Source organism: Homo sapiens, chromosome 19 (genome assembly GCF_000001405.40).
Source record: "Homo sapiens chromosome 19, GRCh38.p14 Primary Assembly".
In the NCBI taxonomy this organism is placed as follows: Eukaryota; Metazoa; Chordata; class Mammalia; order Primates; family Hominidae; genus Homo; species Homo sapiens.
This window is the reverse complement of record NC_000019.10, coordinates 12,525,373-12,549,121: the sequence shown is the minus strand read 5'-3', so window position 1 is coordinate 12,549,121 and position 23,749 is coordinate 12,525,373. Positions and strand designations below refer to the sequence as shown.

General features: G+C 43.3%; 1 protein-coding gene across 1 annotated transcript in view; it reads left to right on the top strand.

Moving 5' to 3' along the window:
* Positions 1 to 23,749, top strand: part of ZNF564 (zinc finger protein 564) — a 26,110-nt gene extending 2,361 nt beyond the window's left edge. Inside the window, exons 2-4 of the mRNA NM_144976.4 lie at positions 20,426 to 20,552; positions 20,758 to 20,818; positions 21,206 to 23,749. Of these exons, the coding sequence (NP_659413.1) occupies positions 20,426 to 20,552; positions 20,758 to 20,818; positions 21,206 to 22,676 (1,659 nt within the window). The 3' untranslated portion in view covers positions 22,677 to 23,749. The remainder of the gene's footprint in view (positions 1 to 20,425; positions 20,553 to 20,757; positions 20,819 to 21,205) is intronic.

The following is a 23,749-nucleotide window of genomic DNA, read 5'->3' as shown; positions in this document are numbered from 1 at the left end:
TCTTACATTCAATTTGTTAAAAAATCTTATTTGTGTAGTTTCCTCTCCGCAACATGTATGGTAGGTTTCTCAGGTCTATTTTCTTCTTTTGGGTGATTTCAGATCAATCCCAGAACTTAGCCTTGAGAATGCTACTGCGGATAAGAATCTCAGATAAGTAGGGAAATTCAGTCTTCCATTATGGCTACAGAGAAACGAATACATTTCCACATTAATTGGTGAAATACAGAGATTCTCTAAAATATCTTCTCCTTTGCAGGGTAGAGATTTTGTCGTAATGGATAACTGTTCTGTATCCTTTCATCTGGACTTTGGTGATTAATGCTAAATCCTATCAGATGGGACTTTGAAATATTAAATATTAGTGAATTAAATATTAGTAAAGAAGTTGTCATGGAAGTAACAATAATGTGAGGTCTCTATTGTCTGAAAGGGATAGATAAATGTGCTTTTCATGTTTAAGCTATAGAATACAAATGTCTTGCCAGCCGCGATGGCTGACGCCTGTTATCCCAGCACCAAGGCAGGTGGATCACGAGGTCAGGAGATCGCGACCATCCTGGCTAACATGGTGAAACCCCGTCTCTACTAAAAAATACAAAAAATTGGCCGGGCACGGTGGCTCACGCCTTTAATCCCAGCACTTTGGGAGGCCAAGGTGTGCGGATCACAAGGTCAGGAGATGGAAACCATCCTGGCTAACACAGTGAAACCCGGTCTCTACTAAAAATACAAAAATTAGCCGGGTGTGGCGGTGTGTGCCTGTAGTCCCAGCTGCTGGGTGGCTGAGGCAGGAGAATGACGTGAACCCGGGAGGCGGAGGTTGCAGTGAGCCGGGATCGTGCCACTGGACTCCAGCCTGGGCGACAGAGCTAGACTCCGTCTCAAAAAAAAAAAAAAAAAGAATACAAATGTCTTACAGTTTCCTTTCCTCCTATATACATAAATGGTAAGTTTGAGTGATTTTGCTGGATTCTTCAAACACAGGATATTTTCTTACTTAAAAATAAGTGAAACTGGGCGTGGTGGCTCATGCCTGTAATCCCAGCCCTTTGGGAGGCTGAGGTGGGTGGATCACCTGAGGTGAGTTTGAGACCAGCCTGACCAACATGGAGAAACCCTGTTTCTACTAAAAATACAAAATTAGCCGGGCATGGTGGCGCATGCCTGTAATCCCAGCTACTCGGGAGGCTGAGGCAGGAGAATTGCTTGAACCCAGCAGGCGGAAGTTGCGGTGAGCCGAGATCGTGCCACTGCACTCCAGCCTGAGCAACAAGAGTGAAACTCAGTCTCAAAAAAAAAAAAAAAAAGTAAGTGAATATAGTCTTGTCTAAGGAAGCAGAGGTCTGAGGCCAAGTGTGCCTCAGAGTGACTCCCAACTAAGAGCCTGCAAAGGGAGGTCATTGAAGTCCCAGTTGGTTCTTCCTGGGTAGAACTTGGCAGGCATCCCAGCCTTATCACTCCAACCAGGGGAGGGGTCCTTTATACTGAGAGAAGCTACAGACCACTGGGAAGCTGGGGATGCACACATAGGCATAGTTGGGAGGGTGATACCCTGTCTGAGGTTGTAATAGTTAATTGTTCAGATAATAACAGTAAACCATGGGCTCCCATGATTTGAGAGAGTTGTTTCTAGACATCCTCAAATACAAGAAATCCGGAGTTAGGTAAGAAGTGACTTTATGTGAAAGGAGTATAACGAAAAGGTGAAAGCAGTAGATACAAGATCTGCAAGCATCCCAGAGGTTAGGCAGAAAAAGGCTTTTCTGGTGGAAGTGGCGGCTTACATCTATAATCCCAGCACTTTGGGAGGCCGAAACAGGAGGATTGCTTGAGGTCAGGAGTTTGAGACTAACCTGTACACATAGTAAGACCATCTCTCTACAAAATTAAAAAAAATTGTGGTGGTGCACACCTATAGTCCCAGCCGAGGCTGAGGTGGGAGGATCCCTTGAGCCCAGAAGATCAAGGCTCCAGTGAGCAATGATTCTGGCATTGTACTCTAGCCTGGACAACAGAGCAAGACCCTGTCTCCCCTCCTCTTCCCCTAAAAAAGTTTTTCATTCATGGGGAGGAACAAATAAGATTAGGAATAGGTGGGAGGAGAGGGCAGAGTGGAAAGTGCAAAATCGGATCCTAGGTCAGAGAATATTTTTCCTGAGGTTAGTCTGTTTTTAGGATGGTTTATAAAGGAGGGATTGGGTGGGTGCTTCCTTAGGCTGTGGAGGATGGGTCAAAGTTCAGGGCTGAAAGGAGGAGAGAAACTTAACCATTAAGGTTGGATTTAGAGATATTTTGTTTTGACTGATCAGTGAAGACAAAACTGTCCAGCCAATTGTTTATGAAGTAAACAATGGGAATTTGGAGAGTCTGTTTTGTTTTTTCTTTTTTGAGACAGAGTCTTGCTCTGTCACCCAGGCTGGAGTGCAGTGGCGCGATCTTGGCTCACTGCAAGCTCCACCTCCTGGGTTCACGCCATTCTCCTGCCTCAGCCTCCCGAGTAGCCTGGACTACAGGTGCCCACCACCATTCCTGGCTAATTTTTTTTTTGTATTTTTAGTAGAGACGGGGTTTCACCGTGTTAGCCAGGATGATCTTGATTCTTGACCTCGTGATCCGTCCACCTCGGCCTCCCAGAGTGCTGGGATTACAGGCGTGAGCCACTGCACCCAGCCGCCTGTCTGGCTTTCTTATAGGTAAAATAAAGGACGTCTAAATTAGTAATAGGGTTTTTTCCCCCGCAGTATGCTGCTTCTCTGGAACACCAAGGGTGGTGGTGGTGGTGGAGAGTGTTTTAATCATAGCTATTCTGTAGGATTATAGAGCTTGGGTAAAATTCAACATTGTCAGCAATTTGGTTTTGTATCCACAGAGTTGGTTTAGTCAGAGTGTAATTTCTGCAAATGTCTGTGAGGGTCAGACTTAGAGAAAGACACCTTTGGCTTCTTTCTGCTGGAGAAAAGGTTTATGAATTTACGAGTGTATTTGCTTCTGTGGTGTAATAAATATATTTGGTGTTTGTCTGCAGTTCCTGGGACAGGGATCCTAAAACCCTTGGAATTCCCTAAGTGATAGGTGGAGTGTGTTTTGTTATTCACAACAATCCCCTTTCAGACCATACTTGAGTTTTAAGCTAATGAGGTGATTCTGTGGAACCCCTGGATACTTTCAGAGTGGAGACTGGTGACCAGAAAGACCAAACCCATGACTAGAGGGTTGTTGCTTTAAGCTCCATTCCCTACCCCAGGAAAGAGTGGAGGCTGGAGATTGAGTTGTGTAAAAATTTTTGAGCAAAGACATTCAGAGAGTACTTCCAGGTTGATGAGGACATTGATGTGCTGGGAGGGTGGTGCACCCCAAGATGAGGAGCGTTGCCTATATCCACCCCCCTTTCCCTGCCATTTTTCAGCTCTTATTTGCCTGTTCCTGAGTTATACTTAAGTAACATGTTTTGCTAAGTTCTTTGAATAGTTTTAGCAAATTATTGAACCCGAGGAGGAGATTATGGGAGCTCACGATTTGTACACAGTTGTTCAGAAGTGTGGGTGGCCCTGCGGCTTGTGACTGGCATGTGAACTGGCATGTTGTGAGACTGAGCCCTGAACTTGTAGGTCTGTCCTAATTCTGAGTGGTGTCAGAACTGAACTGTTAGACACCTGCTGTTAGAACTGGTCGGTGTTTACACTTCGGGTGTCACAGAAAGGACACCAGAGGTCAGAACCTTAAACTGACTCCAGGTAAACATCTGGTCACTGGTGAGAATCGAGACCGTGAATCACATCATGAGGAGAGGAGAGTAGGGTGCGTGGAGCTCCCAGGATGTTTCCCTCACTCATTTCTTTTTTTTTTTTTTTTTTTTGAGACGGAATTTTGCTCTTGTTGCCCAGGCTGGAGTGCAATGGTGCGATCTTGGCTCACCACAACCTCCGCCTCCTGGGTTCAAGTGATTCTCCTACCTCAGCCTCCTGAGTAGCTGGGATTATAGGCATGCGCCACCACGCCCAGCTAATTTTTTGTATTTTTAGTAGAGACGGGGGGTTTCTCCGTGTTGGCCAGGCTGGTCTCAAACTCCTGACCTCAGGTGATCCACCCGCCTTGGCCTCCCAAAGTGCTGGGATTACAAGCATGAGCCACCACACCCGGCTCCCTCACTCATCTCTTAGGAGTGGGCCACATCTTCACATGAATGGTCCTCAGGCTTGTTTAACCTTCTGAATGTGGGTTTCCTTGTGACTGTGGGTGAAACAGGCTGCTAGGTAATAGATCCCAGAGAGAAAGGATAGTTCTCCTTGTAGGCCAACAGGAAGAGGGTGGCTGTTTCAGACCTGATATACACACCTAACCAGGGAGCAAGACAGAGGAATCTGGGCAGATGCCTTTATTGGAGACTCTGTGGGAGTTCTAGTTGGTGAGTTTAGAGCAACCAGATGGGAATTTCGTGGAGTCACATGGTGACTGAGAGGTGGTCCCTGCAGCCTCTCTGTGCATTCCTTGTGTAGGGTCAGTTGGATGATTTCCAGCAGTTTGTATCTAGCCGTCTCATGCGGAGGTGGTCACAGGGAGGCGGCTGTGTAAGGCAGATAACTGGATTGACCACATGGAGGAAATGGGAGGAGGCGTAGAACTGGAAACTGTATTAAGGGTGACTAAGCCCTGCTTCTGGTATGAGAAAGTTAAAGCCATATTCAAAGTGGCTTCTGAGGTAGCATACAATTTTAAGAATTCACTGCAATAGACAGCTCTACACTGAATTCACAACATTATGTGGAGATGATGGCAGAAGATGGGTTATCACTGCTGCTGGGGTTTAACTGTCCGTCGTTTCTGTCCCTGACTGACCATACCTGCTCTGTCATAGGTTCACATACCCTACATAGATGCCCTGGTTTCAGAATTTCCCATATTTCTTTGGTTTATCTTTCTGCTACTGCCATAGTGTCCTAATTATTTCATAACCCTGATGTATGGTTGAGAAAGTGCTGTACTGTCTTAGTCACCTGGGGATGCTGTAATACATTGCCATAGGCTGGGTGGCTTGAACAGCACACATGTAGTTTTCACAGTTCTGGAGGCTGGGAAGTCCAAGTTCAAGTGCTGGCAGATGTAGTGTCTGGTAAGGGCCTGCTTTGTGGTTTTCAGATCATCATCTCTCATTATATCCTCACAAGGCAGAGGAGAGAGGAAGCAAGCTGTCTCCTGTCATTTCTTCTAAAGGTGCTAATCCCATTTATGAGGGCACCACCCTCATGGTCTCTAACCCCGATTACCTCCCAAAGATGCCACCTCCTAATGCAACGACATTAGGAGTTAGAATTTCAGTATATGAATTTTGGGAGGGACACACAGATTCAGGCTGTAACATTTTCTAACAGTGTACTGTACGAAGTCTTTGCTGTTTTTAGATATTTGAGTCCTATTTCAGTTGTTTTTTTTTTTTTTTTTTTTTTTGAGACGAAGTCTCGCTTTGTTGCCCCGTCTGGAGTGCAGTGACGTGATCTTGGCTCACCACAACCTCCACCTCCCGGGTTCAAGTGATTCTCCTGCCTCAGCCTCCCGAGTAGCTGGGACTACAGGTGTGCCACCATGCCTGGCTAATTTTTTGTATTTTTAGTAGAGACAGGGTTTCACTATGTTGACCAGGCTGGTCTCGAGCTCCTGACCTCAGGATCCACCCACCTTGGCCTCCCAAAGTGCTGGGATTACAGGCATGAGCCACTGCACCCGGCTATTTCAGTTTTTAGAAGTGGTCCCTTCCCTTTCCCCTTCCCCTTCCCCTTCCCCTTCCCCTCCCCTCCCCTTCTCTCTTTTTTTTTTTTTTCTGAGACGAAGTTTCACTCAGTCACCTAGGCTGGAGTGCAGTGGTGTGATATCAGCTCACTGCAACCTCCACCTCCTGGGTTCAAGCCATTCTCCTGCCTCAGCCTCCTGAGTAGCTGGGATTACAGGTGCACCCCACCACGCCTGACTAATTTTTTTGTATTTTTACAAAGACAAGGTTTCACTGTTTTGGCCAGGCTGGTCTTGAACTCCTGACCTTGGGTGATCTGCCCGCCTTGGCCTCCCAAAATGCTGGGATTACAGGCGTGAGCCACCGCGCCCGGCCCCTTCTTTTCTTTTTTGTGGTGGAGTTTCTCTCTTATTGCCCAGGCCAGAGTGCAACGGCATGATCTTGGCTCACTGCAAACTCTGCCTCCGGGATTCAATTGATTCTCCTGCCTCAGCCTCCCAAGTAGCTGGGACTACAGGATGTGCCACCATGCCCTGCTAATTTTGTATTTTTAGTAGTGACAGAGTTTCACTATGTTGGTCAGGCTGGTGTAGAACTCCTGACCTCAGGTGATCCACCCACCTCGGCCTCCCAAAGTGCTGGGATTACAGGCATGAGCTATGGTGCCCGGCCCTTTTTTCTTTTCCTTCCTTTCTTTCCTTTTTTTCCTTTCCTTCCTTCCTTTCCTTTTTTCTTTTCTTTCTTCCTTTCCCTTTCTTTCCTTCCTTTCTTCCTTGAGATGGTCCCCCTATGTCACCAGGCATGATCTGCACTGGCGTGATCATAGCTCACTGCAGCCTACAACTCTTGGGTTCAAGCGATCCTCCTGCCTCAACCTCCTGAGTAGCTGGGACTACAGACACGTGCTATCATGCCCAGCTAATTTTTAATTTTGGTTGAGGTTTCATTATGTTGCCTAGGCTGATCTTGAACTCCTGGCTTCAAGTGATCCTCCTACCTTGGCCTCCCAGAATGCTGGGATTCCATGTGTGTGCCTGGCCTAGAAGTAGTGTTTCTTAAACCTTTTTTTTTTTTTTTTTTTTTTTGAGACAGAGTCTCACTCTGTTACCCAGGCTGGAGTGTAGTGCCGTGATCTTTACTCACTGCAACCTCTGCCTACCCGGTTCAAGCAATTCTTGTGCCTCAGCCTCCCGAGTAGCTGGGACTACAGGCGCCCACCACCATACCCGGCTAATTTTTGTATTTTTAGTAGAGTCGGGGTTTCACTGTGTTGGCCAGGCTGGTCTTGAACACCTTAGCCTCCCAAAGTGCTGGGATTACAGGCGTGAGCCACCATGCCCTGCCAAGAAATAGCATTTCTTTTTTTTTTTTTTTTTTTTGGACAGAGTCTCGCTCTGTCACCCAGGCTGGAGTGCAGTGGCACAATCTTGGCTCACTGCAACCTCTTCTCTCCCGGGTTCAAGCGATTCCTCGGCCTCAGCCTCCTGAGTATCTGGGATTACAGGTGCCTGCCACTACGCCCAGCTAATTTTTTGTATTTTTAGTAGAGACGGGGTTTCACCGTATTAGCCAGGACGGTCTTGATCTCCTGACCATGTGATCCGCCTGCCTCGGCCTCCCAAAGTGCTGGGATTACAGGCGTGAGCCACCATGCCTGGCAGAAATAGCATTTCTTAAGTTTAATAACATACCAAGCAAATCTGGTTGTGAATTTTATGGAATTAAATAAAGCACTGTATTTGGGACAGCTTAAGCATATATCATGGTAATATTCAGCCTCTTTTCTAAGGATCTATGCCATTTCTCCATGTAGTGCTTCCTAATTTGATTTTTTTTTTCTTTTTTTTTTGAGACAGAGTCTCCATCCCCAGGCTGGAGTCTAGTGGCGCGATTTTGGCTCACTGTAACTTCCGCCTCTTGGGTTCAAGCAATTCTCCTGCCTCAGCCTCCCAAGTAGTTGGGATTACAGGTGCGTTCTACCACGCCGAGCTAATTTTTTTGTATTTTTAGTGGAGATGGGCATTTGCCTTGTTGGCCAGGCTGGTCTCGAACTCCTGACCTCAGGTGATCCGCCCATCTCAGCCTCCCAAAGTGATGGGATTACAGGCGTGAGCCACCCTGCCTAGCTATTTTTGTTTTTTGAGGCAGGGTCTTAACCCCATCACCCAGGGTGGAGTGCAGTAGTGCAGTCAATGGCTCACTGCAGCCTAGACTTCCTGGGCTCAGGTGATCCTCCTCCCTCGAGCCTCTTGAGTAGCTGGAACTGCAGGTGCGTGCCACCACACCCAGCTAATTTTTGTGTTTCTTTTTTTTTTTTTTTTTTTTTTGTAGAGACAGGGTTTTGCCACATTCCTGAGGCTGGGGCTATGCTGTCTTTTTTTTTTTTTGAGACAGAGTCTCTGTTGCCCAGGCTGGAGTGCAGTGGTATGATCTCAGCTCACCGCAACCTCCACTCTTGGGTTCAAGCAATTCTCCTACCTCAGCCTCTCGAGTAGCTGGGACTACAGGTGCCTGCCACCAGACCTGGCTGATTTTTTTTTGAGACGGAGTCTTGCTGTGTCACCCAGGCTGGAGTGCAGTGGTGCCATCTCGGCTCACTGCAAGCTCTGCCTCCCGAGTTCACACCATTCTTCTGCCTCAGCCTCCCGAGTAGCTGGGACTACAGGCGCCCGCCACCACGCCCGGCTAATTTTTTGTGTTTTTAGTAGAGACGGGGTTTCATCATGTTAGCCAGGATGGTGGCGATCTCCTGACTTTGTGATCTGCCCGCCTTGGCCTCCCAAAGTGCTGGGATTACAGGCATGAGCTACCACACCCAGCCGGTTTTTGTATTTTTAATAGAGATGGAGTTTCACCATGTTGGCCAGACTGGTCTCGAACTCCTGACCTCAACTGATCTGTCCGCCTCAGCCTCCCAAAGTGTTGGGATCACAGATGTGAGCCACCACACTGGCCCTATGCTCTCTTTTAAATGTTGACTTCAATGGCTTGATGCTCAAAATTCGGAGTACACTGAGACTTATTTGTGTATTGAGTTTTCATTGTGGAAACTTACTAAACATATTGCATATGAGGAAACTACATAAAACAGTTGCACAGTCAACTGAAACATTGTAAAGGGAATGTCAGTCTCATGACAGCCAGGCCACGACTTTGAAGACTTCTCACCACATGCCCCACTTGAAATGATTCCTAGAAGCCAAATCATCCATTCTCTTTCCAGATGGGGCCAGTGTTATAGATTATAAGATAATTTCCTTGCTTTTCTTAACCTGTGTACTCAACCCTATGTCAATATATTTTATTTTAAGCCAGTCAGTTACATATTTCATTTTTGAATGAATCTTACGCAAGTGGCATTATACTGTGTGTACTATGGAATGTCAGGTTTCTTTTTTCTTTTTTTTTTTTTTGAGACGGAGTCTCGTTCTGTTACCCAGGCTGGAGTGCAGTGGCGCGATCTCGGCTCACTGCAAGCTCCGCCTCCCAGATTCACGCCAATCTCCTGCCTCAGCCTCCCGAGTAGCTGGGACTACAGGCGCCCACCACCACACCTGGCTAATTTTTCTTTTTTGTAGTTTTAGTAGAGATGGGGTTTCACCGAGTTAGCCAGGATGGTCTTTATCTCCTGACCTTGTGATCCGCCCACCTCAGCCTCCCAAAGTGCTTGGATTACAGGCGTGAGCCACTGCGCCTGGCCTTTTTCTTTTTCTTTTTTGTCTTTTTGAGAGGAATTGTCGCTCTGTCGCCCAGGCTGGAGTGCAGTGGCACGATCTCGGCTCACTGCTACCTCTGCCTCCTGGGTTCAAGCGATTCTCCTGCCTCAGCCTCCCAAGTAACTGGGACTACAGGTACGTGCCACCTTGCCCTACTCTTTTTTTTTTTTTTTTGTATTTTTATTAGAGATGGGGTTTCACCATGTTAGCCAGGATGGTCTCGAACTCCTGACCTTGTGATCCACCCGCCTCGGCCTCCCAAAGTGCTGGAATTACAGGCGTGAGCCACTGTGCCCAGCCAGCTTTCTTTTTTTACACTAGAATTTTCCATGAAAGGTTAGTTTATTTGCTTTTTTAATTCATAGTTTACAGAAAAATTTGGGAGCTATTACAGAGCCCCTTTTCCCTACCTCCCCTATTTTTTTTTTTTTTTTTTTGAGATGGAGTCTCGTTCTGTCACCGAGGCTGGAGTGTGGTGACAGGAGGCACGATCTCAGCTTACTGCAATGTCTGCCTCCTAGATTCAAGCGATTCTTCTGCCTCAGCCTCCGGAGTAGCTGGGATTACAGGCGCCCACCACCATGTCCAGCTAATTTTTTTTTGAATTTTTTTAGTAGAGACTGGATTGCGCCACATTAGCCAGGCTGGTCTTGAACTCCTGACCTCAGGTGATCCACCTGCCTCGACCTCCCAAAGTGCTAGGATTACAGACGTGAGCCACCACGCCTGGCCTACCTCCCCTATTTTTAACATACTGCGTTAGTGTAGTGTATTAGTTATGATTATAAACCAACATATTACATCTGATAATGATGAAAATTGGCAAACCAATAACATTATTATTAACTAAAGTTGATACTTTTTTTTTTGAGACAGGGTCTTGCTCTGTCGCCCAGACTGGAGTGTAGTGGCGCAATCATAGCTCACTGTAGCATTGACCTCTTGTACTCAAGTATCCTTCTGTGTCAGCCTCCCAAGTAGCTGGGATTACAGGCTTGTGCCACCACACTCGACTAGTTAAAATTTTTTTATTTTTTATTTATTTATTTTTTTTAGACAGAGTCTTGCTGTGTTGCCCAGGCTGGAATGCAATGGCGCAATCTTGGCTCACTGCAACCTCCGCCTCCTGGGTTCAAGCAATTCTCTGCCTCAGCCTCCCAAGTAGCTGGGATTACAGGTGCCCACCACCATGCCTGGCTAATTTTTTTGTATTTTTAGTAGAGATGGGGTTCCATCATCTTGTCCAGGCTAGTGTTTAACTCCTGACCTCGTGATCCACCCACCTTGGCCTCCCAAAGTGCTGGGATTACAGGCGTGAGCCACTGCGCCTGGCCAAATTTTTTTTTTTTTAATAGAGACAGGATTTCACTATGTTGTCCAGGCTGGTCTTAAACTCCTTGGCATTAAGCAGTCCTCCTGTCTTTGCCTCCTAAAGTGTTAGGATTACAGGTGTGAGCCACTGCACCGAGCTAATATTATTTTATATTTTACTTTATTTTGTATTTATATATTAACAGTGTAAATGTATATTCGTATGTTGAATGTGTGTTATACAATCATTTTATATTTTAACTTACTATTATTTTTTATTCTATTTAAAAAAATCTATTGAGACTTAGTTAACTTTTACCACTACTATTCGCCATAGTACCGGATGTTCTAGTCAGAGTAATTAGACAAGAAAAAGAAAAGATATCAGAATTGGACAGGAAGAAGGAAATTTTTTCCTGTTCACAAATTATGTGATTTTACATGTAGAACTTCCAAGAACTTCCCCCACCCCACACACGCACTTAGAAGTAATAAATGAATTAAGCAAATTGGTAGCATACAAATGGAACCTGCAAAAATCTGTTATTTTTATACATTGTCACTGAACAACCCAAAATGGAAATTAAGAAAACATTTTCTTTTCTTTTTTTTCTTTTTTTTTTTTTTTGAGACGGAGTTTCACTCTTGTTGCCCAGGCGGGAGTGCAATGGCGAAATCTCGGCTCACCGCAACCTCCGCCTCCCGGGTTCAAGTGATTCTCCTGCCTCAGCCTCCCCAGTAACTGGGATTACAGGCATGCGCCACCACACCTGGCTAATTTTGTATTTTTAGTAGAGACAGGGTTTCTCCTTTTTGGTCAGGCTGGTCTCGAACTCCCGACCTCAGGTGATCCGCCCCCCTCGACCTCCCAAAGTGCTGGAATTACAGGCGTGAGCCACCACGCCCGGCTTAGAAAACATTGTCTTCCATATACTTTAAATCATCTTTAGCTCACTTATAATACCTGATACAACATAAATTTTAGGTAAAATAGTTGTTATATTGTGTTGTTTAGGGAATAATAAAAAGAAGAAAAAGTCTGTACATGTTCAGTATATACCTAACCATCATAGACCTAATCACATAGTACATGATCAGAGGGTGGTCGAATCTGAGGATACAGAAACTCCAAGTATGGAGGGCTGACTGTAATACATCATTGGATGATAGATAAAGAAAATGTGTAATATCCATCCAGTGGAATATAATTCTACCATAAATACAAAGTGGGGATGCGTGCTACAACATGGATGTGACTTGAGAAACCTATAATGAAGCCAGTCACATACCACATGGCATGATTCTGATTATATGGAAGTCCATAATAGGAAAATCTATAGAGACCGAAAGATTGCTGCTTATCAAGGGCTGGGGACTGGCAGAAGAAGATGGGAGGATAGGAGATTGACAGGTAAAAAGTACATGGGCTTATTTTTGAGGTGATGAAAATTGTGATTATGATTGCACATATATACTAAAAACCATCTGTTAAAAGTATTAGGAGTTTTCAGGTTCATTCCAAATCTATATAATCTGTTACTGTTTTTCTTGTATTTACCAATGAGAATAAGACTTCAGGGCTGGATGTGATGGCTCACTCTATCGGCTTCCCAAAGTGTTGGGATTACAGATGTGAGCCACCTTGCCTGGCCAATACATATCTTATACGAAGTCCACAATACCATGGATACTCATCCATGTCCGAATTCTAGACAGTACTGATGGTAACCAAGGCCCTAATTTAACTTCTCAGAATATACAGTGCTGGGCTCCTAACTTCTCGGAATATACAGTGCAGGGCTCCTAAACAAGGCATTGGCTGAAGACCTCATTCATGACCATAATGGCTTACTAAAATAAGTTCAAATCAGTTGCATGAAATATGATATGGGCCAGGCGTGGTGGCTTACGCCTGCCATGTCAGCACTTTGGGAGGCCAAGGTAGGCAGATTGCTTGAGCCCAAGAGTTTGAGACCAGCCTGGGCAACATGACAAAACCCCGTCTCTACAAAAAATACAAAAATTTCCTGAGCATGGTGACATGTACCTGTAGTCCCAGATCCTTGGGAGGCTGAGGTGGAAGGATCACTTTAGCCTTGGAGGTTGAGGCTGCAGTGAGCTGTGATCATACCACTGCACTCCAATCTGGGTGACAAAATGAGACCCTGTCTCAAAAAAAGAAAAAACATGGTTCAGTGATTAGTTACTTTTCAGTCATGAGTCTCTTCATTTTAACTTTTTGTAACAGATTTTTTTCAGAACAGTTTTAAGTTTACAGAAAAATTGATCATTAAGTACAGAGTTATTTAATGATCACTCTTCTTTACGGTTTGCCCTATTTTTTTTTTTTTTTTTGAGACGGAGTCACGCTCTGTCGCCACTCTGGAATGCAGTCGCACAGTCTCAGCTCAGTGCAACCTGCACCTCCCGGGTTCAAGCAATTCTCCTGCCTCAGCCTCCCAAGTAGCTGGGACTACAGGCACGCACCACTCCGCCCAGCTAATTTTTGTATTTTTAGTAGAGATGGATTTCACCATGTTGGCCAGGATGGTCTCGATCTCTTGACCTCGTGATCTGCCTGTCTGAGCCTCCCAAAGTGCTGGGATTACAGGCGTGAGCCACCGCACCCGGCCAGTTTGCCCTATTTTTTATATATTGTATTACTGTGGTACATTTACTACAGTTGAACCAATATGGATGCATTAATGTTTACATTTTACATTAGAGTTGACTATTGTATATTCACTGGACTTTGACAATGTTTAATGACATGTGTTATTTCTGTTAGGGTAGTTTCACTGCCCTAAAAATCACCTATAGTTTACACATTCATTCATCTGCCCTTTGCATCCTGAAATCCCTTAAAACCAAAGACTTTTTCATGTCCCATAGTTTTGTCTTTTGCAGAATATCTTATAGTTGGTAATACATTGTATATGGCCTTTTTAGATTGGATTCTATCACTTAGTAACATACTTTTCTTTTTTTCTTTTTGAGACGGAGTCTCACTCTGTCACCCAGGCTGGAGTGCAGTGATGTGATCTTGGCTCACTGCAACCTCCGCCCCCTTGGTTCAAGCGATTCTCCTGCCTCAGCCTCCTGAGTAGCTGGGATTACAGGTGTCCGCCACCATGCCCGGCTGATTTTTTTATTTTTAGTAGAGATGAGGTTTCACCGTTTGGTCAGGCTGGTCTCAAACTCCTGACCTCAGGTGATCCTCCCGCCTCTGCCTCCCAAAGTGCTGGGATTACAGGTGTGAGCCACCACACCTGGCCCAGTGACGTACTTTTAAATTTCCTCTATGTCTTATCATGGCTTGATATCTTCTTTTCATCCATATGATTATATTTAATCATATGGATGTACTGCAGATTGTTCATTTGTTTATCAAGAATCTCTTGGTTAACTCTAAATTCTAGAAATTATGAATAAAACTCCCATAAACATCCATGTACAGGTTTTTGTGTGAACATGTTTTCAGCTTATTTTGATAAATACCAAGGAGCATGATTGTTAGGTTATATGTTGAGTATGTTTTGTTTAGTTTTGTTTTGAGACAGAGTTTTGCTCTGTCGTCCAGGCTGGAGTGCAGTGTCAAGATCTCGGCTTACTGCAGCCTCCACCTCCTGGGCTCAGACAATTCTCCTGCTTCAGCCTCTCGAGTAGCTGGGATTACATGCATGTGCCACCATGCCCAGCTAATTTTTGTATTTTTAGTAGAGACAAGGTTTCACCATGTTGGCCAGGCGGGTCTTGAACTCCTGACCTCAGGTGATCCACCCTCCTTGGCCTCCCAAAGTTGTGGGATTACAGGCATGAGCCACTGTGCCTGGCCGAGTATGTTTAGTTTTATAAGAAACTGACCATCTTCCAAAATAGGTGCACTGTTTTCCATTCCCACAAGTAACAAATGAGGGTTCCTATTGCTTCACATCTTTGCCATCATTTGGTGTTCTCAGTGTTTTAAATTTTAGCCATTCTAATAAAGGTTGTGTTAGTCTTTAATTTTTAAATTTGTAATTCCCCAGTGACAAAATATGCATGTTTTCATATGTTTATATGCCATCTATATATTTTATATAATCATGTCTTATGCAGCAAAGACAATTTTATTTCTTCCTTCTAAATCGATATACTTTTTATTTCCTCTGTCTTGTTGCTTATCTAGGACTTTAAGGATGTTGTTGAATAGTAGTGGTGAGAGAAGACATTCTTACCCTGTTTCTGGTCTTGTGTAGAAAGCATCTAGTTTCTCACTGTTAAGTATGATGTTAGCTGCAGGTTCCTCATTGATGTTCTTTCTGAGGAGGAAGTTCTCTATTCCCAGTTTGCCACCGTGAGTGGATGGTAGATTTTGTCAAATGTTCTTTAGTTTTTACTTTTGCCTCCTTTCATTTCTGATCTTAGTAATTTCTTTTTTCTTACCATGACTAGAGGTTTATCAGTTTTATTGGTGTTCTCCAATAACCGACTTCTGTTTTTTTTTTTTAATCTCTATTGATTTCCTGCCATTTCATTGACTTCTCCAATTATTCTGTCTGTCTGTCTGCTTACTTGGGTTTAATTTGCTCTCTTGTTTTTCTGTTTTCCTGAAGTAGACTCTTTTCTTTTTTCTGTTTTTTTTTTTTTTTTTTTTTTTGGAGACAGCAGCCTGCTGTGTCGCCCAGGCTGGAGTGCAGTGGCATGATCTTGGCTCACTGTAACCTCCATCTCCCAGGTTCAAGTGATTCTTGTATCTCAGCCTACTGAGTAGCTGGGATTACAGGCATGCGCCACCACACCCAGCTAATTTTTGTATTTTTAGTAGAGACGAGGTTTTACCATGTTGTCCAGGCTGGTCTCCAATTCCTGGCCTCAAGTAATCTGCCCGCCTTGGCCTCCCAAATTGCTGGGATTATAGGCGTGAGCCACTGCACCCAGCCCGAAGTAGACTCTTAGATGATTCATTATAAACCCTTGTTCTTTCCTGGTGTAGGTGTTCAATGCTGTAAATATTCCTCTATGCACTGCTTTTGCTGCATACCCTAATTTTTGATAAATTTTGTTTTCATTTTCATTTTAGGTCAAAAATTATTTTTGATTTCTCAGACTTCTTTGATCCATGTGCTTATTTAGAATTGTGTTGTTTAATCTCTAAAGATTTGGGGGAGTTGGTAACTATCTCTGTTATTGATTTCTAGATGAATGACTTGTGGTCTGAGCATACTTTGTATGATTTTTTAAAATTTTTCATATTAAGGTGTGTTTTATGCCCCAGTATTTGGTTTATTTTTGTGAATATTCCTGTGAACTTGAGAAGAATTTGTGTTTTGCTATTGTTAGATGAAGTATTCCATGCATTTCAATTAAATCCAGTTGTTTGATGATGCTATTTACTTTACTATGTCCTTTCAGATTTTCTGCCTGTTGGATCTCTTAATTACTGCTGGAGGGGTGCTGCAGTCTCCAACTATACAAGTAGATTAGTGTATTTTTTCTTTGCAGTTCTATCAGTTGTATTTTGCCACATGTATTTTGCAACGCTTGTTATGCAAACACACACTAAGGGTTGTCAGGTTTTCTTGGCATGTTGAGTCCTTTATCATTATGTGATGCTCACTTATATCTCTTTATTTATTTTAAAAATTTAATTTATTTTTTTTAGAGACAGAGTCTCACTGTGTCTCCCAGGCTGGAATGCAGTGGTGTGATCATATAGCTCTTTGCAGCCTTGAACTCCCAGGCTGCAGCAATCTACCTGCCTCAGCTTCTCAAGTAGCTGACTGCAAGTTTGTGATACCCCAACTGGTTAATTAAAAAAAAAATTTTTTTTTTTTTTTTTTTTTTTTTTTTGAGACGGAGTCTCGCTCTGTCGCCCAGGCTGGAGTGCAGTGGCGCGATCTCGGCTCACTGCAAGCTCCGCCTTCCGGGTTCACGCCATTCTCCTGCCTCAGCCTCCCGAGTAGCTGGGACTACAGGCGCCTGCTACCACGCCCGGCTAATTTTTTGTATTTTTAGTAGAGACGGGGTTTCACCGTGTTAGCCAGGATGGTCTCAATCTCCTGACCTCGTGATCCGCCCGCCTTGGCCTCCCAAAGTGCTGGGATTACAGGTGTGAGCCACCGCGCCCGGCCAAAAAAATTTTTTTTTTTAAATTTTTTTTATAGAGATGAAGGTCTCGCTGTTCCCCAGGCTGGAGTGCAGGGTCTATTCACAATAAATTATAGCGCATTATATCCTTGAACTCCTGGTCTCAGGTGATCCTCCATCTCAGCCTCCTAAGTAGCTGGGACCATAGGCATGTGCCACTGCACCTGGCTTATCTCTGTGTTTTTTCCTTTCTCTGAAGTGTACTTTGTGATATTAAGATAGCCATGCCATGTTTCTTTTAATTAATGTTAGCATTTTATATATTTCCCTATCCCTTTACTTTTAATATGTGTGTCTTTGTATTTAAAGTGGTTTCCTTTTAGCCAACATACTATGTTTTTAAAATCCACTATAACAGCATCTGTCTTCTAATTATATTTGGACTATTGACATTCAAAGTGATTATTGATACAGTTGTATTAATATCTACCATATTTTTTACTTTTTTCTATTAGTTGCCCTTGCTTTTGTTTCTTTTTTTGTCTCTGACCTTCCTTCTTGGGCTTTAATTGAGCATTTTACCTGAGGTGTGACATATTTTGTAATCATATGATTTGTTAGTGAGCCTTTGTTCCTGGCCTGGGTTGTGGCCTTCTGTGGTATTGTAAGAAAGATATGTGGTCTTTTTTCCTCAGTGCCTACCATGGTTCTCCTATTTTTTTTTTTATTTTTTTTGGAGACAGAGTCTTGCCACCCAGGCTGGAGTGCAGTGGCACAATCTCGGCTCACTGCACTTTCCACCTCCCAGGTTCAAGTGATTCTCCTGCCTCGGCCTCCCAGGTAGCTGGGGTAACAGGTGCGCGTCAACATGCTTGGCTAATTTTTGTATTTTTAGTAGAGACGAGGTTTCGCCGTGTTTCCCAGGTCAGACTCAAACTCCTAACTCAAATGATCCTGACTCAAGTGAACTCAAGTGATCTGCCTGCCTCAGGCTCCCAAAGTGCTGGGATTACAGACATGAGCCACCATACCTGGCCAGCATTCAGAATTCTTGTTAAAGGTTAGGGAAGCTATCATGTTGTTCTTCAGAAGACTTTGACCATTGTTAGATATTCATTATTCCTGCTACATTTGGAGAAGAACTTTTTGTTGACTCTTCAACAGTTTTTAGGGGATTTATAGAATTTAAAAAATATTTTGTAAGAGGCTATCTTGAGGACATTTCATTCTTTCTCAGAACCCATCTTTCCAGCCAGGTGTGGTGGTTTACACCTGTAATCCCAGCACTTTGGGAGGCTGAGGCAGGAATTTGAGATCAGCTTGAGCAACAAAGTAAGACCCCATCTCTACAAAAAATTTAAAAATTAGCTAGACATGGTGTCTTGCGACTATAGTTCTAGCTACTTGAGAGACTCAGGAGGGAGGATCACATGAGCCCAGGAGATCAAGGCTTCAGTGAGCTGTGATCATGCCACTGCACTCCAGTGTGGATGACGGAGCAAGTTCCCATTTCTAAGAAAACCAAAAGAACCCATCTTTCCCCTTATTTTATTTTGCCTTGACATTACACAATGTAGTATCACATAGTGACTGGTCAGGAATCATTTCCTCTTGAAATTTGAGAAAGAGGATTTTATGTTCTTTTGGAGAAAAGCACTGCTGATCCCTTCGTGTATTTTATAATCATGGTCAAATTCACCATCAAACCATCTGGACTTGAATGAAATCCCTCAGAAATTGCAACTCTTAACCTGTTCCTCAAGGTTAGCAAGTCATAGGGTACCTTGTTATGTATCTGCCAGAAAAAACTCTTCTGGCATTTTGTCTTCTTAGTATGTTTGTGTATGTAAGGTAAAAATAGGTGGGAAACTGCCCTTGACGTTCATGACTGGGGATTTTGCTGGGTGAGGGGGCGCTGCCTAAGTTGCCATACCTTCTTCTTCATGCCTGAGTTCTGTCTTCCCAGTAGCTTCCTAGCCTAGTGAAATGGGACAGAGTCAAAGGAATCAGTGAGTCTATAACAAATGTTATACATGCAGGTTAAAATGACTTCTTTTGCAGAGGAATATTTTCTTTCAACCAACTTGATCTGTCTACGTCTGATGGCCTGGAATCCTTCAGGAAAGTGTGGTCAGCTGGATTTTGTCAGAACGTGGATTTCTACGGGCCTTCTGGCCTCTCATGTTTGATGAAGGGAACAGAAGAAAATGGTTTCACTTCTTCAGTGTATATTTATTTATTCATGGATACCTTTTTCAGTTTTTATCCTGTGTTTCTTTTTTTCTTTCTTTCTTTCTTTTTTTTTTTTTTTTTGAGACAGAGTTTTGCTCTTGTCACCCAGGCTGGAGTGCAGTGGCACAATCTCTACTCACTGCAACGTCCGCCTCCTGGTCTCAAGCGATTCTCCTTCCTCAGCCTCCCAAGTAGCTGGTATTACAGGTGCCCACCACCACGCCCAGTGAATTTTTTGTATTTTTAGTAGAGACAGGGTTTTGCCATGTTGGGCTGGCTGGTCTCAAACTCCTGATCTCAGGTGATCCGCCTGCCTCTGCCTCCCAAAGTGTTGGGATTACAGGCATGAGCCAGTGCGCCTGGCCTACCCTGTGTTTCATGGAATGCTGATTGGTGTGAGATATGAAAGGAAATGGAAGTTTTTCCTGGTAGGAATGATGATCTTAAATTTTTTTTTTTTGAGACTTAGTCTCTCTCTGTCCTCCAGGCTGGAGTGCAATGGCATGATCTCAGCTCACTGCAACCTCCGCTTCCTGGGTTCAAGCTATTCTCCTGCTTCAGCCCCCCGAGTAGCTGGGATTACAGGTGCATGCCACCATGCCCGGCTAATTTTTTTGTATTTTTGGTAGAGACGGGGTTTCACTGTGTTGGTCAGGCTGGTCTCAAACTCCTGACCTTGTGATCCTCTTGCCTCAGCCTCCCAAAGTGCTGGGATTACAGGTGTGAGCCACCAGGCCTGGCCAAAATTTGTTTTCTTTGTATAGCATTTTATTTGTTTCTCCAAGGTGAACTGGATCCTGCCATTAGAGACCAATAAAACTTGTAGTGACTACAGTAAAAATGTAGAGATCAGTTGCATGTTTTCATGGGGTAATTAAATTTATGAGAAAGTGAATGTAGACGGAATTCTGACAACCATATTTATTTATCATAAAATAAATGTTTGGAGACTGCCACATCGTTTTGTCGACTTTTTTGTTTTGTTTTTTGTTTGTTTGTTTGAGATGGGGTCTCTCTCTGTCAGCCAGGCTGAAGTGCAGTGGCGTGATCTTGGTTCACCGTAACCTCTGCCTCCCTTGTTTAAGCGATTCCCCTGCCTCAGCCTCCTGAGTAGCCGGGATTAACAGGCATACGCCACCACGCCCAGCTAATTCATATATCTGTAGTAGAGATGGGGTTTCACCATGTTGACCGGGCTGGCCTCAAGTTCCTGACCTCAGGTGATCTGTATGCCTTGGCCTCCCAAAGTGCTGGGATTACAGGCATGAGCCACCACACCTAGCCATTTGTGAACTTTTATGAATTGGGTTTACATCCCTGTACTGTCATCTCATTCTTCCTCCTGCATTGCATATTTGGGATGTTTTAGGACTCAGTGGCCTCTGAGGATGTGGCTGTGAACTTCACACTTGAGGAGTGGGCTTTGCTGGATCCTTCCCAGAAGAAACTCTACAGAGATGTGATGCGGGAAACCTTTAGAAACCTGGCCTGTGTAGGTAAGGATGACATCATTCCTTCTTTTAGTCAGTTAGAGAAGAAGTATTTCTTGCTTTTTAATGCTTTTTCATGATGTCTAATGTGGAAAAGGGAATACTTGGGTGAATAAATCAGGGTTGTTTGCACCTTATCATGAACTTAGAATCTAGTCATTTTTCTGTAATGTCTATCAGTTCATAAGGATTTTTTCTGACTATATTTTAGGAAAAAAATGGGAAGACCAGAGCATTGAAGATTGGTACAAAAATCAGGGGAGAATTTTAAGGTAATTTGCACTGACAAGATAAAGCAATGTCTCCTTCTTAGTATGTCATGAAATTTTAAAAATAAGTAAACAAACCAGTAAGCCCAGCTTCAGATTTATTTATTCCTACAACTTTTTCACCAGAAAAAGAAAAAGTGGCATAGATGTTCAGTGTTGCAAAATCATTCACTTGGAAATAGTATTAAGAAACTGTATATATGGATATCACTTTTTTGGTGATAGCTACTGTCAAGCTCTCTTGCAGAGCATTCCATCCATTCACTTTCAAACAATTCATACAGGCCTGAAAACTTACCCTTTCCGCGATTATGGTAAAAATGTAAGTCGAATACCTATTAATAAATATAAAGTCACAAACCACTAAATCTTGCTTTCTATTTTTTCCAGAAATCATATGGAAGAGGGACTCAGTGAAAGTAAAGAATATGATCAATGTGGAGAAGCCTTCAGTCAGATTCTCAATCTTAATCTGAACAAGAAAATTCCTACTATAGTAAGACCATGTGAATGTAGTTTGTGTGGGAAAGTCTTCATGCATCATTCATCCCTTAGTAGGCACATCAGATCTCACCTTGGACACAAACCATATGACTATCAGGAATATGGAGAGAAACCATATAAATGTAAGCAGTGTGGGAAAGCCTTCAGTTCTTGTCAATCCTTTCGAAGACATGAAAGAACTCACACTGGTGAGAAACCCTATGCATGTCCGGAATGTGGGAAAGCCTTCATTTCTCTCCCAAGTGTTCGAAGACACATGATTAAGCACACTGGAGATGGACCATATAAATGTCAGGAATGTGGGAAAGCCTTTGATCGCCCAAGTTTATTTCAGATACATGAAAGAACTCACACTGGAGAGAAACCCTATGAATGTCAGGAATGTGCAAAAGCTTTCATTTCTCTTCCAAGTTTTCAAAGACACATGATTAGGCACACTGGAGATGGACCTTATAAATGTCAGGAATGTGGAAAAGCCTTTGACCGCCCCAGTTTATTTCGAATACATGAAAGAACTCATACTGGAGAGAAACCCCATGAATGTAAACAGTGTGGGAAGGCCTTCATTTCTTTCACAAATTTTCAAAGTCATATGATTAGGCACACTGGGGATGGACCTTATAAATGTAAAGTATGTGGGAGAGCCTTTATTTTTCCCAGTTATGTTCGAAAGCATGAAAGAACTCATACTGGGGAGAAACCCTATGAATGTAATAAATGTGGTAAAACCTTCAGTTCTTCCAGTAATGTTCGAACACATGAAAGGACTCACACTGGAGAGAAGCCCTATGAATGTAAGGAATGCGGGAAAGCCTTCATTTCTCTCCCAAGTGTCCGAAGACACATGATAAAGCACACTGGAGATGGACCTTATAAATGTCAGGTATGTGGTAGAGCCTTTGACTGTCCCAGTTCATTTCAAATACACGAAAGAACTCACACTGGAGAGAAACCCTATGAATGTCAGGTATGTGGGAAAGCCTTCATTTCTCTTAAAAGGATTAGAAAACATATGATACTGCACACTGGAGATGGACCTTATAAATGTCAGGTATGTGGTAAAGCCTTTGACTGTCCTAGTTCTGTCCGAACACATGAAAGAACTCATACTGGAGAAAAACCCTATGAATGTAAAGAATGTGGGAAAGCATTCAATTATGCCAGTTCCATTAGAATACATGAAAGAACTCATACCGGAGAAAAACCCTATGAATGTAAGCAATGTGGAAAAACGTTCAGTTATTCCAGTTCCTTTCAAAGACATGAAAGAGCTCATAATGGAGATAAACCTTACGTAAAGAATGTGGGAAAGCTTTCATTTATCACACAACCTTCGAATACCTGTGAAAATGAATAGTGGAGGACAGGTCTACAAGTATCTACATATCTAAAGAATATGGAAAGTCTTCAGTTTGCTTTCTGGGTTTCAGACTTGTTTGGGAGCTCACCCCTTTCTCCTGTTTCTCACTTTTGGAATAGGAATCTCTATCCTGTGCCTGTCTCATATTTTGGAAATACATGACTAGTTTGGTTTTCACCGGTTCGGAGCTGAAGAAGAATTTTGCCTCAGCATGAATTGAGTCTCATCCATATCTGAGTGATGTGATATTGAGATGACACTTTGGAGTTTGAGTTTAAACATTAGGCTTCATGCTGGAATTAACTGAGACTTTTGAGGCCTTTGGGATGAGATGAATATATTTTACATGTGATGACATGGATTTTGGGGGCCAGAGGTGTAATGTTTTGGCTGAGTGTATGCCACCTCAGATTCATATGTTGAAACCTTACCCCCGTGCCCCCCCTCTCCCCCACAATGTGATGGTATTTGGAGGCCCTGTCTCTGGTGGTTTTTAGGATTGGAGGACATCATGAAGATGGAGGCCTTGTAATTGGGATTAGTTTCCTGATAGGAATCCCTAGAGAGCTAGCTTTGCCCTTCACCATGAGAGGGTGCAGTGAGAAGATAGCTATCTTTGAACCGGGAAGCAGGCCCTTACCAGACATGGACTATGCCAGTGCCTTGATATTGGACTTCCCAGCCTCCCAAACCATGAGAAATAAATGTTTGTTGATTAATTAAGCTTTCCAATTTATGGTATTTTGTTTTAGCAACCCAAGCTAAGACACAATCCAATTTTAAAATGGAGGAAAGGACTTGAATAGACATTTCTCCAAAGAAGATACCCAGATGGCCAATAAGCACGTAACAATGCTCGACATCTTTAGTCATTAGGGAAATACAAATCAAACTCAAGACATACATAGCATCTCATTAGGATTAGTAGTATCAAAGATGGAAAACAAGAAATACTGTCAAGGATGTGGAATGTTGGAGAACATTGTGCACTATCACTGGGAATGTACAGTGGTATAAGCCTGCTGAAAACAGTATGGCAGATCCCCAGATTAAAATATAGAAATAACATA